The sequence below is a fragment of the Homo sapiens genome, chromosome 3 (assembly GCF_000001405.40).
Source record: "Homo sapiens chromosome 3, GRCh38.p14 Primary Assembly".
Taxonomy (NCBI): domain Eukaryota; kingdom Metazoa; phylum Chordata; class Mammalia; order Primates; family Hominidae; genus Homo; species Homo sapiens.
The window spans coordinates 53,103,803-53,119,348 of NC_000003.12; the positions used below are offsets into that span (position 1 = coordinate 53,103,803).

The following is a 15,546-nucleotide window of genomic DNA, read 5'->3' on the forward strand; positions in this document are numbered from 1 at the left end:
CGAGGGGAACAGTCCCACAGCCCCTGCCACCAGACAGTTTTCCCTACACTGACACAGATAACAACTGTGTGTGCACAAGTTCTTGAATTTCGTGACTCTTCTATTTATGTTGGGAAATCAGAAAAAATCCAGAAAAACTCTTGTGCGTACCGGATCCTGAGCTAAGCATGGTCCCTCCGTAGATATCCAGAGCCAGCTGAGAATAGGCAAAGCCAAAAACAGTGATGGTCAGGCCGGCCAGCAGGGCCAGCTTGAGCAGGGACTCCAAGACTGCAGCAGCCACAGCAACGTCCTCCTGGGGCCAGGGAAGAGGGAAGGAAGTTGGATGAATCATGAGCTGAAGAAAACCTTCATCCTTCACGTCTGGCCTTCTCCCTTCACTGTTTTACAGTTCACTCTTCCAACAGCGTGATGGATATCACTATTTTTTTGTAGTGTGTTTGTTTTCACGTCAGTTAGCAAATGAAGGAAAAAGTGTGTGTCTCCTTAGGTCGTAAGGGGGAGGGTTAGTTTTCAATTCACTTGGGATAAATTGTTTCAAATATTGCTTAGGAAACACTCACTTTCCCCTCTGATATTTGTTCTTTTTTTTTTTTTTAAATAGAAATAGAGAAGGGAGTCTCACTATGTTGACCAGGCTAATCTCAAACTCCTGGCCTCAAGCAATCCTCCTGCCTTGGCCTCCCAAAGCGTGAGGCTTACAGGCATGAGCCACTGCACCAGACCACTAATATTTATTCTTAAATGTGCAGCAAGTTTTCATATACACTAGCCAGCTCTGTGCTTCTCCTGCTAAACATTCCAAAATTATGATGATACTGTGAAGGTACTCTTAGGAAAATATTCCTAAATCAGACTGAGTACCAGATTAGCTCATTTTGAGATATTGTGCATAAACTGTATTTTACTAAATTTCTTCTAAGACAAGCAAGAGGCTGAACTAGCTTGCTATTCTAAGAAAAGTCAGACATTTTCAGTGGTTTTGGAAAAAGTGAAGCTCCTACAACAAAATACTCCTAGATTAAAATCTCTTCTTCTGTATTTACCAACCCGAGTATACAGAATCTTACAGTCAGAGTGTAGCTCTGGGCATGTCCCAGTTGTAAGAAGCTTAAATAATTGGTGTGGTGAGCGAAAGCCAACAACCACTTCCTCTCCTCCCTATGCCCTTGATTAGCCTGGCTCCAACTTCTGCATCCTTTGGCTCTTGAGACTCTGAGGATAAGGGAAGCATTCTTACGCCTAAGACTAGCCCATGGCTGGGCATCTGCAGGGCAATGGGGACAGCTTTAGAGTCCTGAGAGGGCTGGATCAAGAGTAAGGTCACATGGCCAGGTATGGGGGCTCACACCTGTAATCCTAGCACTTTGGGAGGCTGAGGTGGGCAGACTGCCTGAAGTCAGGAGTTCAAGAGCAGCCTGGCCAACATGGCAAAACCCCATCTCTACTAAAAATACATAAATTAGCTGGGTGTGGTGGCGCATGCCTGTAGTCCCAGCTACTCAGGAGGCTGAGGCAGGAGAATCGTTTGAACCTGGGAGGTGGAGGTTGCAGTGAGCCGAGGTCATGCCACTGCACTCCAGGCTGGGCGTCAGAGCAAGACTCTATCCCCGCCCCCCCCCCCAAAAAGAGTAAGGTCACAACGAATAACAAAGGTGTGAGAAGGAAGGGACAGCCAAGAGCAAAGCAAGAAGGCCACGAAAGAAGAGGTGAGCCCTGGGTCCCACTATCATGAAGAATGTAATAGAAGAATGAAATCTATAAGAAAATTCCTGATCAAACAGAAGAGAAACAGACTGCTTCACACTCCTGTCTGTCTTGCAATTAAAGGGAGAATTCACTTGAGAGATGACATAAGAACCAACATTACCTGCTTCTGAAGTGTGGCATCCTTTCCCCTCTCCAGCACCTTAGCAAAAAATATATAAAAACTTTCCTCTATTGGCTGGAAAATTAATCTGGCCACAAGGGAGCCAAGATTATTCACTATATCATACACACCTACAAAACAAAAAAGAAGAAACAACAATCATGTTGGTTTTTCTATTTTAATTTTTATAGCACTATTAAAATTATTTAATATTTTCATTAAAGTTTGTTTATCTTGAGATAATTATAGATTCACACAGAGTTATAAGAAGTAATAGTGGCCAGGCACGGTGGCTCATGCCTATAATCCCAGCACTTTGGGAGGCCAGGGTGGGTGGACTGCTTGAGCCAGGGAGTTTGAGATGAGCCTGGGAAACACGGAAAAACCCTGTCTCTACAAAAATGGAAAAATTTAGCCAGGCGTGGTGGTGTGCATTTGTAGTCCCAGTTATTTGGGAGGCTGAGGTGGGAGGATCACCCAAGCCCAGGAGGTTGAGGCTGCAGTGAGCTGTGATGGTACCACTGCACTCCAGCCTGGGCAATAGAATGAGACCCTGTCTCAAAAAATAAAAAATAAATAAAAAAGACAAAAAAATAGGAAGTAATAGAGGGATCCCATATATACCCTTTACCCAGTGGTAACATTTTGTAAAACTATAGTACAATATCACAACCAGGATACCAACGATGATACAGTCAAGATACAGAATGCTTCCATCAACAGTACTTTCTTATACAGGTCATTAATGCAAAGTTGATGTTTTTCTATTTGATTTCAGTTACTTTGGGATTACATTAAAAGATAAAAATGAAAATACTGAAAGACTATCTAGCCACACAAACATGGGGCAGATTTTTGTGGCTGTGACAGTGAGCTCCCTTTTCTCCTCTCTTGGCACCTCCCACCTCCCAAAATGAACACCAGAGCTCTCAGGAGGCAAAATAGAGGGCCGGGGTCTCACCAGAATACCTGACACCAAAGTCATGTTGGAGGGCATAGTCAGTACAAAGACCTACAATTTACAATCTTCAGGATTTTCTTTAATCTTCAGGTTCATCTTTCATTAAATATATCAGAGAAAAATATTAGGAAGTATCTATTAATAGTGTTCACCTTTAATTAAAACACTACAGAATTTCATCTTACCCTGATCACCAAAGTTCAATACATTCAAAAATGTCATCACATATCGCTCGCCTATAAACAAAAAAGCAAAATAATTAGCAATGTCAAATGCACATTACTTTATTGTTTCCTTTCTCTCACCAGCTATCAACTTTTCCAGCTGACAAATAAAGGAGAAATACTAGGTAATCAGTTAAAGACATGTCCTTGTCCTAATGTTGATTTCAAATAATCTCAGAGTAACAATTTGGAAAGTGCTGAGGACTTTATTGACAGCAAATCTCCAAGCCAGTTAAATTACAAATAAAAAAAAATAAAAATAAAACAAGTCTAAAAAGGTTTTTTTTTTTTTTTTTGAGACGGAGTCTCGCTCTGTCACCCAGGCTGGAGTACAGTGGCACGATTTCGGCTCCCTGCAAGCTCTGCCTTCTGGGTTCATGCCATTCTCCTGCCTCAGTCTCCCGAGCAGCTGGGACTACAGGCGCCCGCCACCGCACCCGGCTAATTTTTTTTGTATTTTTAGTAGAGATGGGGTTTCACTGTGTTAGCCAGGATGGTCTCGATCTCCTGACCTCGTGATCTGCCCACCTCAGCCTCCCAAAGTGCTGGGATTACAGGCGTAAGCCACCACGCCCAGCCCTAAAAATAAGTTTTTAAAAAAGTATGTGGAGATTATTAAATGTTAATAATGAAGATGATAGTCCCAAGTCTTAAGGGGAGGTCAGATAATCTGAGCGTAAATTATCTGTGAAGAGTCCATGATTATATGCACAAGCTTATCCAAAGGTTCCTCAGGGGTGGAGACAGCTCCCTGGGGGCTGGCAAGGCATTAGACTGTCTTAGATTTGAATCATGAACTCACGTCTGAGTTCATGATTCAAATTTAAGACAGTCTAATGCCTTCAAGGTGAAGACACCAGCCAGGGCCCCCATCCCCTTGGCTTTCATGAAGTTTCTCATCTATGAAGAAAAAGTGTTGACCACTATGGAAAAGGAGCACTAAACAGTGCCCACGCCCTGAAGGGCAAATTCTCACCTCCTAGTAACTTGCTAAAAAAGGAAAGCATCAAGAGGCTAGAAGCAGTGAGGATCTTCTCTCAAGACTTTCTCCCACCCTGACTCTCTCTCCAAGCCCCTGCCACTGTGTTTGTGGTAGGGACCACTGCAGGTCCTCACAGGCCTGTGTCTCTGTGCTGCTTGGATCCACCCTCACTGCTAACAGTTCCAGCTTCTGCAAATACAGTTTTGTTTTGTTGTGGTTGTTGTTTTGAGACAGAGTCTTATTCTGTCGCCCAGGCTAGAGTGCAGTGGCGCGATCTCAGCTCACTGCAACCTCTGCCTCCCAGACATAAGAGATTCTCCTGCCTCAGCCTCCTGAGTAGCTGGGATTACAGGTGTCCACCACCAAGCCCAGCACTTTTTTTTTTTTGTATTTTTAGTAGATGGGTTTCACCATGTTGGCCAGGCCAGTTTCGAACTCCTGACCTCAAGTGATTCACCTGCCTTGGCCTCCCAAAGTGCTTGGATTGCAGGTGTGAGCCACTGTGCCTGGCCTCAAACACAGCTCTTAAATCAGTCTCTGCTTTCATATCTTTTTTTTTTTTTTTTTTGAGACATAGTCTTGATCTGTCACCCAGACTGGAGTGCAGTGGCACGATCTCGTTCACTGCAACTTCTGCTTCCTGGGTTCAAGCGATTCTTCTGCCTCAGCCTCCTGAGTAGCTGGGATTACAGGCACCCGCCACCATCCCCAGCTAATGTTTTTTTTTATTTTTTAGTGGAGACGGGGTTTCCCCATGTTGGCCAGACTGGTCTTGCACTCCTGACCTCCCACCTCGGCCTCCCAAAGTGCTGGGATTACAGGCATAAGCCAACACACCCAGCTTGCTTTCATATCTTTAAATGGTTTTTTTTTTTTTTGAGACAGAGTTTCGCTCTTGTCGCCCAAGCTGGAGTGCAATGGTGCTATCTGGGCTCACTGCAACCTCTGCCTCCCGAGTAGCTGGGATAACAGGCGCCTGCCACCACGCCCAGCTAATTTTTGTATTTTTAGTAGAGATGGGGTTTCACTGTGCTAGCCAGGCTGGTCTCGAATTCCTTACCTCAGATGATCCGCCCACCTTGGCCTCCCACAGTGCTGGGATTACAGGCGTGAGCCACCGTGCCGGGCCAAAATGACTCTTTAATGTTTGCAAAAAGTCCAGGCTCCTTAATTCTGTATTTGTGGGCTTTTATACACTGACCCCAAGCTATCATTTTGGATTCCCTTTGCCAACCTCACCCTCATCACCCTGTCATCTTCTGCTGCACCCTACCTCCCAGGTTTTAGCCCTCCAGCTGCTTTGAGTCAGGCTGGGCCCACCTTGGCTCCTGTCATTCTCACCACCTAGTGTGTCTTTTCTGCAGGGCCCTCCCTGTCTTTTGGCAAAATAGACCTCTCCTTCCTACATTCTATAGACTCCCTGAGGGCAGGAGCCCCTCTCAGTCACCTCTATGACCCTGGTTTCCTAGCAAAGCTCTAGGAAATGAGTTTCCAAGTACCACACACCTCACAGCCAAGTAACAGTTAACCACATAAATGTCTGTGTCTTTGGTGAGAGAATGAAATGCCTGAGGCCATGGCCTGTTACTCATTCATCTCAGTATTCTCAGCACCTGGCATAGTGTTCAGGAAATGTGGGGGCAGAAGTAACAGCACATACATTTTTGCTACTACAAAAAGTGATTTCAAGCTGAGCTCAGTGGCTCATGCCTGTAATTCCAGCACTTTGGGAGGCCGAGGCAGGAGGATCGCTTGAGTCCAGGAGTTCAAGACCAGTCTGGGCAACATCACAAGACCCTGTCTCTACAAAAAAATTAAAATATTGGCTAGGCGTAATGGTAGGTGCCTTGCCTGTAGTCCCAGCTACTTGGGAGGCTGAGGTGGGAGGATCACTTGAGCCCGAGAGGTCAAGGCTGCAGTGAGCTGTGTTTGCACCACTGCATTCCAGCCTGGGTGACAGAGTGAGACCCTATCTACAAAAACAAAAAACAAAAAACAAAAAAAACCACCAGGGATTTCAACTTTTTTAGAGCTGTAGTTTTAAAAATATATCGAATCTGAGGATCTCAGTCAGGCAACTTCCTTATTTCACAGCCAAGGAGATGGAGGCCCTGAGAAGTTCCTAATGGCACTCTGCCAGTCAGGGAGTCAGGCTAGGGGGATCCAACCATGGAGCAGGCTCCTGGCACCACATTCAGGTCGAGCTCTGGAGGCTTTAGTTTGCAGTAAACTTAAACCAGCTGCTGCAAAGACATGTCTAGAGACATGTGTTGTCTGCAATCCAGAAAACCAATTTAGGGCCATCACTTGGACTGGATCCATTCCTTCAAACTTATTAAAACTGCTCTTAAAACCTTGGAAGGAAAAAAATGCATATGAGCAACCGTCCTTTCCAAAACTCACTCCACCGATTTTCCTGTTCTTACAACAATGTGAACTATCATCATACACATTTCACAATAGTTACGTTGTTGCTTTTCTTACCCCATTCACAAATACATGCTGAATAGCCCTCCTGTACCAGGCCACAGGGAGGCAGTAGTGAACGGCACAGTCTCTGCTCCCCAGGAGCTAAGTGCTCAGGCCCTTCACTCAGCTCTTCTGAGGCTTCTGACCCTCCCTTCCCCGAGAAGGCCTCGGAACGGTTTCATTTTTGTAATAGCAAAGTTATAAGGTTAGGCTGGAAACGTGTGTACTCTCAAAGATCAGAGAGCCCTCAGACACTGCCTGGTCCTATCCCTTATTCACAGATGGGGAAAGCGAGGCATAGGGGGAGTTGCTTTCTTTTGGAGACATAATAAACAAAAAATACAGATGGGGGGGAAATAAAATAACAAGATAATAACAGTTGTATTAGAATGCTAGTATTATTTTTTCTATTTTCTTATTTTTTTCTAACGGGACTATATTTTATAATTAAAAGAAAATTTTTGAAAAGATTAAAAATACATTCAGTAATAGGTATATGGATATGAAATATATATGAAGAGAGAAACTACTACCTTCAGCAACTTACAGCTGTCTTAAATCTCACTTTTTAAATTAAAGCTGGGTATAAGTAAACCAACACATATACATACAAAAACTAAATGTGCTTCCAGCCCCTTGCTGGCCCTCCACATTGAGAGCTCTGTCGTAGGTAAACTGAAAGGACCAAAGTCTGACCAAACTCTCATACAAGTGCATTTTGTTGTTTAAGAAAATAAATCCAGGATTAGGGAATTGACATAATTTTTAAAAAGAAGAAGAAGAAAATAAAATGATATAAATAAATGATATAAAATGATAAAAAGGCTGGGTGTGGTGGCTCGCGCCTGTAATCCCAGCACTCTGAGGCAGGCGGATCACAAGGTCAGGAGATCGAGACCATCCTGGCTAACACGGTGAAACTCCGTCTCTACTAAAAATACAAAAAAATTAGCTGGGTGTGGTGGTGGGCACCTATAGTCCCAGCTACTCAGGAGGCTGAGGCAGGAGAATTGCATGAATCTGGGAGGTGGAGCTTGCAGTGAGCCAAGATAGCACCACTGTACTCCAGCTTGGGCGACGGAGCAAGACTCCATCTCAAAAAAAAAAAAATGATAAAAATACTTTTATGTAACTGATATAATACTTTCATAATAAATTCATAAAAATCATATAACATGGGGTTTTGGAGTTAGACCTGGATCCCAGTTAAGCTGTTCCTTGTTACTATAAAACCCTAAAGAAATTCTGCAACCTCACTGACCCTTAGTTTCCTCATCCATGATGAAGGGGAACAATATGTTTCTTATAAGGCTGTGGAGAGATTTAAATTAGACCACTAAGTAAAGCATCAAACTAAACAGACGTTGGTTTCTCTCTCCGTATTAAGCCCCCTCCTCCCATTTCTGAAATTCTTCTGCCCCAGAGGCTCTGGACAGGTGGTCTGGACCCAGGTAATTGGCAGTCCTATGAAATCCCCTTCTACTATGGTCTCCCGACGATTCAGAGTGACCGTCTACTTACCTTCTGTCAAAATCTGTTTCAAGAAAGACTGTTTGAAAAAACTCCAAGTCAGTTTAGCCTCTTTCCAGTTTATAAACGCCTAGAAGAGAAAACAAAACAAAACAAAAACATCACAGGCGTTGCAAGTCTAAGAATGCAATGCTACATGAGAGGCAAATGCAATCTGGTCTCTAAATCCCAACTTGGATAGTCTCCACTGAATCCTCATCCAATGCTAAGCACACAGAAGGCATCTCACAAACACTGGAGAAGAATTTACATTACTAAACACAAAGCCAAAGTCTGTAAGGGCCTGCCCAAGACTCATATACTGAGACCCCTAAAGAATTGCTGCTGTCCCTTGGGGGCCCACACAGTACACTGACCACAGCTAACACGTACAGCTCACAGTTTGTTCTTTCCTTAAAAACTGTCTAAAGCATGCCAGGCTGCAGAAGAAATTCTGCTCCATATACTGCACATTGTAATGCTATGTTCAGCCATCCAGGGCCCTTTTACACAAAGTATAGGAGCTGCCCTTCTGCATTACAAAAGAAATTTAGCCTTCGCAGGTCAGGTAAACCACTCAGAATGGGTATGACAGAGGAACGGAGAAAATAAAATTTCTGATATGACTCTTCTAAAACTCCAGGCCAGGCGAGGTTGCTCACGCCTATAATCACAACACTTTGGGAAGCTGAGGTGGGTGGATCACTTGAGGCCAGGAGTTTGAGACCAGCTTGGCCAACATGGCAAAAACCCCATCTCTACTAAAAATACAAAAATTAGCTGGGCGTGGTGCTACGTGTCTGTAATCTCAACTACTTGGGAGGCTGTGGCACAAGAATCGTTTGAACCTGGAAGGCAGAGGTTGCAGTGAGCCAAGATGGCACCACTGAACTTCAGCCTGGATGACAGAGCGAAAATCTGGCTCAAAAATAAATAAATAAATAAAACTCCCAGCGGCACCAAATGGCCCATTTCCTAAGGACAAGGAAACACTTAGGTAGGGTAGAGGTCAACCTATTAAGAGACAGGTGGCCTCAAAGCCAGGGAGCTGAGCACAAAATGGAAGAGCAAGGCAGCCAGGGAGCTCGGTATCCTCTGACTCCTGTTTTTCTACCTCCCACAGTTCTCTCTGGGGCCCCCTCCTCTATCTTGTAGGCACCCTGGGATCCCAGAATATTTAGACTAGGTGTTTGGTTTTTTGTTTTGTTTTGTTTTAGAAACAGGGTCTCACTCTATCACCCAGGTTGGAATGCAGTGGCATGATCATAGCTCACTATAACCTCAAACTCCTGGGCTCAAGCCATCTTCCCCCCTCAGCCTCCAGAATAGCCGGGACTACAGGTGTGTGCCACCATGCCTGGCTCATTTTTAAAATTTTTGTAGAGATGAGGGTCTTGCTGCATTGCCCAGGCTGGTCTCAAACTCCTGGCTCAAGCAATCCTCCCACCTCGGCTCCCAAAGTACTGGGATTCCAGGCATGAGCCACCATGCCTGGTTGATGTTAGGTTCTTAATCCTAGGGTACTTGCATTTTGAAAAGTAGTGATTATCCAAAGTGATTACTTCTCAATGGTAGGATTTCAGAGGGCTTTTTGGGAGGGGAGGGCTGAATTACAAAGGCCAAGCCCACTCTACCTCTCCAAAAGGTCAGCCACAGCTCTGGAAGTGGGCCCAAGGGCAGGCCTGGAACCTGTCTCAGTCATGTGGGCCCCTGTTCTGGGCAGAAAGCCCATCCGTGAAGAGCAATGCTATCCAGTAGAAATGTAATGTTAAATTTTCTAGCAGCCACAGTGCACAGGAAAAAGAAACAAGTGAAATTAATTTTAATATATTTTATTTAACCAAAATATTATCATTTCAACAAGTAATCCCTGTAAAAAATATTTTTTTTCATATTAAGACTTTGAAATCCAATATGTATTTTGCATTTATGACTCATCTGAATTCAGACTAGCCATATTCCAGAATGCTCTATAGCCACATGTGGCTGGTGGCTAACATTTGGGACAGGGCAAGCCTAGAGCACCTCTGAAAGCAAGGATCACTTCTAGCCCCCATTCTCTTTACTCCTTGGTTTCTGAGCCTTTTTTCCAGACACAGGGAGTGCAAGTGTGAATCCTCCCAAACAGTGCAGCCCTCAGGGAATCAGAGAACCTAGAGCAGATGCCAGGTTATCTCTTTAGCCCAGGAGTAAATCTTCCCTGATGAGAAGGAAATTGGGCCACAAGATGTTTAAAACAGGCCATCTCCTTTCCCCGGAACAAAGAGCACCAGACAACTTCCTACCACTAGGGGGCACTGGGGACCACGTCATCTTCAGACTTGGATTCTGACCACAGCCGGCTTCAGCACCTTCTCTCTCTCACACTGCTCCTCACCCCTTGCCATGCTGTGGTGGTCCTCCCAGGGGTCAGCAAAGCAGGACCTGTCCCCTTTTAAAAGGAAACGAAGGCTGCTGCTTGTCATGAGGCTCTCGTGATGCCTGTTTGCCTGCAGGTTGTGAATGGATTTGGGAAGATGATTGAGCTCTTTAAAGACAAAGTTCTTTGGGAGAATGAGATCATGATGGTGTACCTAATCTGAGAGCTCATACTTGATTTTCCTAATGCCTTTGGTTTAAATGGGCCTGTGGTTCAGAAGGAATGGTGACACCACTTACTAAAAGTGCTCATTAAGGACACAGAGGCAGGAAATCCAATCTGAGATGCGGCTTCTGCAGGCAGGGGCTGAGTGGTGGGAGAGAGGAAGCATATGGTGGACTGTTACCATTCTATTCAGAATGGAGGTTCAGAATGGAGGTGTCACTTGGGGCGGTCAAAAGAGGCCTATTTCACAATAGCTGGGTTGGTACTGATGAGCTGATCTAAATAGCCAGGAATTTCCCTGGAATACCCTGACCAACAAGCCATTCCACTGCCCTCACTGTACTAACGGAGAAATGGCGGCTAAGGTGGTAAAAGGTGATGGATGGTAACTCCAGGGAAGGTCTGGAATCAGAACTCAGAGGCTCATCACACTTTCACCTGAGTCACTCGTCCACTTCCCAAACTCTTCTGACTCAGGATGATATGATCAGCCACATCCTTACCACAATGACAAGAGTCACTGGTGAGTGTGGGGCTACCATCCTGTCCACTGCCCTCTGTCACCTCCTCCACCCTACAGAGCACTCCTTCCTCTCCCTCTTGCTCCACCTATCCCAGTCACTCTGGGGCTATTGATGCTGCCCCAGCTTTATCCATCCTCCCACTTTCATCCATCCTCCCCCTGTCCTTACTCCTCACCTGGACAATTGCCACAGGCTCCCAATGAGCTTTTTTTGCTTCTTACTCTTTCTCTAGCCTATCCTTCTCATTGCAGGTTCAGGCTTTGGAGTCAAGCTTGGAGATTGGGGCTCGACCTGCAGTTCCTTGAATTATTAGTGTAAATGTCGCCGTGAACAAGATACTTAATTTTGCTAAGCCTTGGCTTTCTCATCTGCAAAATGGGATAAGAAGTCCTGTCTCATGGAGCCAGTATGAGGACTGAATGAAAAAAAATAAGACACTATAACTCTGTAAGAGACGGCAAGCTCCTCAATACAGACAGTTTGATCATGGTGCTGTTCAAAAACCTTTCATTAGGCTCCACTGCCCCTGAATTAAACCCAAGCTCCATAGCACTGAGGCCACTGCCACCTGACCCTAGCCTGGCAGCCAGGTTTACTTCCCTTCATAACTTCCCGCCACCTTTTCCTTTCTCTCCCTTCCCCCATTTTCCAGCCAACCTAAGTACCCCAGTCATCTCTACATTCCCAATTCCAACACAATGATGGGCAGGTAACAAGCACTGAGCAAATTTTCTTTCCTTCTGTGGTCACGAATGCCCATCTCTACCACACATATACATTTAACCTCTGCCCACCCATGTGTCAAAGTCCAGCACAAAAGAAGCTTCCTCCGTGAAGCCTTCCTTGATGTTCCTAGATGGAATTCAGCAGTCCTTCCTCTGTGCTTCTATTTTGATAACGCTAGACACACACTGTCCTATAGCATAGTTGAGTACAGATCCTATCTCTCCATCACCATGCAAGTTCTGAGGGTAGGGGCCTCACTCAGGGCACCTGGTACAGTGCCTAACATATAATAATGTTTAATACATGCTTGCTGAGTCAAATTCCTCAGCTTTACTTAAATATTAGCATATCTCTCATATTAAATCCCTCAGAAATGTCAATGAATATAAACGGAAGCCATTATTTGAAGTATCATTAATTTATTATAAGGTTAAATAAGCATCTTTAAAGAAGATGGAATTCTACAAGAACAGGAAGGGAAATCTTACAATTAAGTCAAATTGATAGTAAATATAATTATTTGACCAGCTTCCATTAAGGAAGTCCCCAGTGCAGAAAGCTGCTCTGGGGAGTCAAGTCAGGCATGCTGCTCATGGTAAAGTCATACACTGCGTTCATGCATTCAGAATCATCTCATTTCTTTTTTTTTTTTTTTTTTTTGAGACAGGGTTTCACTCTGTCGCCCAGGCTAAAGTGCAGTAGCATGAACACAGCTTACTGTAGCCTCAGTCTCCAGGGCTCAAGTGATCCTCCTGCCTCAGCCTCCAGAGTAGCTGGGATCACAGGCATGTGCCACCATGCCCAGCTAAATTTTACATGTTTTGTAAAGACGGGTTCTTACCATGTTTCCCAGGCTGGTCTCAAACTCCTGGGCTCAAGCAATCCTCCCACTTCGGTCTCCCAAAGTGCTGGGATTACAGGCTTGAGCCACCACACCCAGCCTCTTTTTTTCTTTCTCTTTTTTTTTTGAGACAGAGTCTTGCTCTGTTGCCCAGGCTAGAGTGTAGTGGTGCGATCTCAGCTCACTGCAACCTCCACCTCCTGGGTTCAAGCAGTTCTCCTGCCTCAGCCTCCCAAGTAGCTGGGATTACAGGCGCATGCCACCATGCCCAGCTAACTGTTTTGTATTTTTAGTAGAGACGGGGTTTCACCATGTGGGCCAGGCTGGTTTCCAACTCCTGACCTCAAGTGATCTGCCCGCTCAGCCTCCCAAAGTGCTGGGATTACAGGTGTGAGCCACCATGCCCGGGCTTCTTTTTAAAATAATAAACCTGAATTATGAATTGTTCCACCTGGAACTTCCTAATCTTTATGTAAACAATAACTACTATGGGCAATAAGCCAATTTCTTTTGGAAGGCTACATAACATAGGGGTAAGCCACAGTCTAAAGCTAGTCCCCAGCAAAAGGTGGAGAGAAGTGGGTCCAAAACCAGCTATGTGATTTTGGATTAGTCACTTAACTCCTCTGAACCTCAGTTTTCTTGTCTGTAAAATGGAGCTAACAGTATTTATCTCATACATTACTAAGAGAATTAAACACAAAATCCATGTAAAGTGCTTGGTGTAGTGCATGGCACAAAACATGCAGTCAATGGCAGTTATTGTAAATGGCTCTTTGTCAAGGTTCAAATACTTTCATGGAACTCCTGAAGTCTTCAGAGGGGCCTCACAGGTCACGTAGGCCAACAATCTCACTTTAAAAATGAAGACCCTGAGGTCTGGGGAGAGTCCCACAGGCTTCAGATCTATATCAGGTGCCTCTCAAGCCCACAGGAACCTCCCTGAGGCCCAGGAATCACCTCTCCTACATGTCTGTATCCCTGATGGCACCAAGCATGGCGCCATGTTCTTACTGTATGTCAGCGGGAACAGTATCACTATGTGTGACAGGTACACACAGCCTTCTCATGATCAGGGCTTGGGTCCTCGCAGTCTGGGCATGGGTACTTTCAGAGCATATTGCCAGATTAAACCACTGAGCTCCCACACCAATAACATCAGAGCTGCCTAGCTAGGGTGCCCCTGTAGAGCCAGCTCTGCTCTCAGGGTGTCAGTGTGACGGTGGTGATATCGGTTGTCACTTAAGGATACCCACTTGTGCCAGGCCACAATGTTAAGACCTTACATGCCCCAACTCATCAGGTCTTCAAAACAGCCTTAGGAGTGAGGTACTATTATTATCCCCATTTGACAGATAAAGAAACTAAGCTTAGAGTTCTGAGCCCATCACAGGTTTTATTTATTTAGTTATTTATTTGAGACAGGGTCTCACTCTGTTGCCCAGGCTGGAGTGCAGTGGCACAATCATGGCTCACTGCAGCCTTGACCTGTGCTCAAGCGACCCTCCCACCTCAGCCTCCTGAGTAGCTGGGACTACAGGTGCACACCACTATACCCAGCTAATTAAAAAAATTTTTTTTTTGTAGAGACAGTCTTGCCATGTCACTCAAGCTGGCCACCACAGAGTTTAATAAACACTTGGCAGACTCTTTTCTTTACCTTCTCTCTTTGCTTATACTAATGGTTCAAATGTTCCTTCCCAAAATACTGCTGGGGCACAGGGACAGGCCCAGTATGAAAATCTGCCAGGCTTGGTACAGGTGGGCACCAGGAGACACTAAGGGGAAGAAGAACTCTTCTGCACTCTCGGACCTGCTCTGGGGGCAGGGGGCAGAAGCTCTAGGCAAGAGAAGCGATCCTGAGTCCTAACCATCTAAGCCTGTAGATGAGGCACAGTGGTATCCAAAACGTCCTGTTGGTTTAGGTTATAGGTAAAATCTAGCTGAGCAGAATGGAGAACTCTGACCTCACAAATGAGAACATATCTGGCTTTGATACATAGGATCTAGTTTTTCTCGAAAAGTTGTATAACAGGATTCTGTGAATTCTGAGACTTAAGTCTCACATATTTTACTACTTTTTCAAGTATCACAAGAGGAATAAGGAGAAATCCAGCATGTGCCTTACCACAACTGAGTGCATTACATCCGGCAAGCAAACAAGCATGGAGAGAAGGGAAAGTGCCCAGAATGGAGGAGCTCATGAAGTGTCTTAGCAGAGACAACGTGGCAATATCATCACGTGTGCAGCTCTGGTGGCATGGGCAGCAGCACTGACCCCAGAAGAGCCAGAAAATGAAAGTCCAATGGCCTGAGTGTGAAGGAATTGAGTAGAAAAGATTATGCGCCACTCCACACATCAGCTGTAGAATCCACAGTGCTCTAGATGGAAAAGTGTATCACCTGAAAGACTAGCCTGACACTCAGAAGGAGACCACGTGAGGCCGGGCGTGGTGGCTCATAATCCCAGCACTTTGGGAGGCTGAGGTGGGAGGACTGCTTAAACTCAGGAGTTCAACACTAGCCTGGACAACATAGTGAGACCCTGTCTCTACAAAAAAAAATTTTTTAATTAGCTGGGCATGGTGGCATGTACCTGTAGTCCCAGCTACTTGGGAGACTGAGGCAGGAGGATCACTTGAGCCCAGGAGGTCAAGGCTGTAGTGAGCTATGATCACGCCACTATGGGAAACAGAATGAGACACTGTCTCAAGGAGAAAAAAAAAAAAAGACCATTTTGGGTTCATCCCTACTTTCTCAGAACTCTCAACTGTGTGCTAGAAGTCAACTGAGGAAGAAAACCAAAACCACAGCAGAATAGAGAGAGTGGAACACAATGGTGGAGCCTGTGCTCTG

General features: G+C 45.1%; 1 protein-coding gene across 7 annotated transcripts in view, besides 2 other annotated features; it reads right to left on the minus strand.

Annotated features, from left to right (window-relative positions):
* Positions 1-15,546, minus strand: part of RFT1 (RFT1 glycolipid translocator homolog) — a 63,583-nt gene that overhangs the window by 36,950 nt on the left and 11,087 nt on the right. For 6 of the 7 annotated variants that reach the window (XR_007095765.1, XM_011534215.4, XM_011534214.3 and 3 more), the window contains exons 7-10: positions 8,028-8,106; positions 3,017-3,067; positions 1,871-2,001; positions 151-295 (exon numbers count right to left, since the gene is read on the minus strand). Coding sequence is in view for 6 of the 7 variants with exons in the window: in XM_011534215.4 (XP_011532517.1) it covers positions 151-295; positions 1,871-2,001; positions 3,017-3,067; positions 8,028-8,106 (406 nt within the window). In the remaining variant the exon portion in view is untranslated. Of the gene's footprint in view, positions 1-150; positions 296-1,870; positions 2,002-3,016; positions 3,068-8,027; positions 8,107-14,818; positions 14,905-15,546 lie in introns of those variants that run through there. The other variant, XM_011534216.4, reaches the window with a different exon arrangement.
* Positions 5,488-5,607: an enhancer, noted in NCBI's record as "active region_19953". NCBI's record gives its function as "activates an Ori minimal core promoter by ATAC-STARR-seq in GM12878 lymphoblastoid cells {active_cell/tissue: GM12878}" and the evidence as "EXISTENCE:reporter gene assay evidence [ECO:0000049][PMID:35858748]".
* Positions 10,532-11,731: an enhancer, noted in NCBI's record as "CDK7 strongly-dependent group 2 enhancer chr3:53148350-53149549 (GRCh37/hg19 assembly coordinates)". NCBI's record gives its function as "activates an origin of replication core promoter dependent on BRD2, BRD4, P300/CBP, MED14 and CDK7 cofactors, with strong dependence on CDK7, by STARR-seq in HCT116 cells {active_cell/tissue: HCT116}" and the evidence as "EXISTENCE:reporter gene assay evidence [ECO:0000049][PMID:35650434]".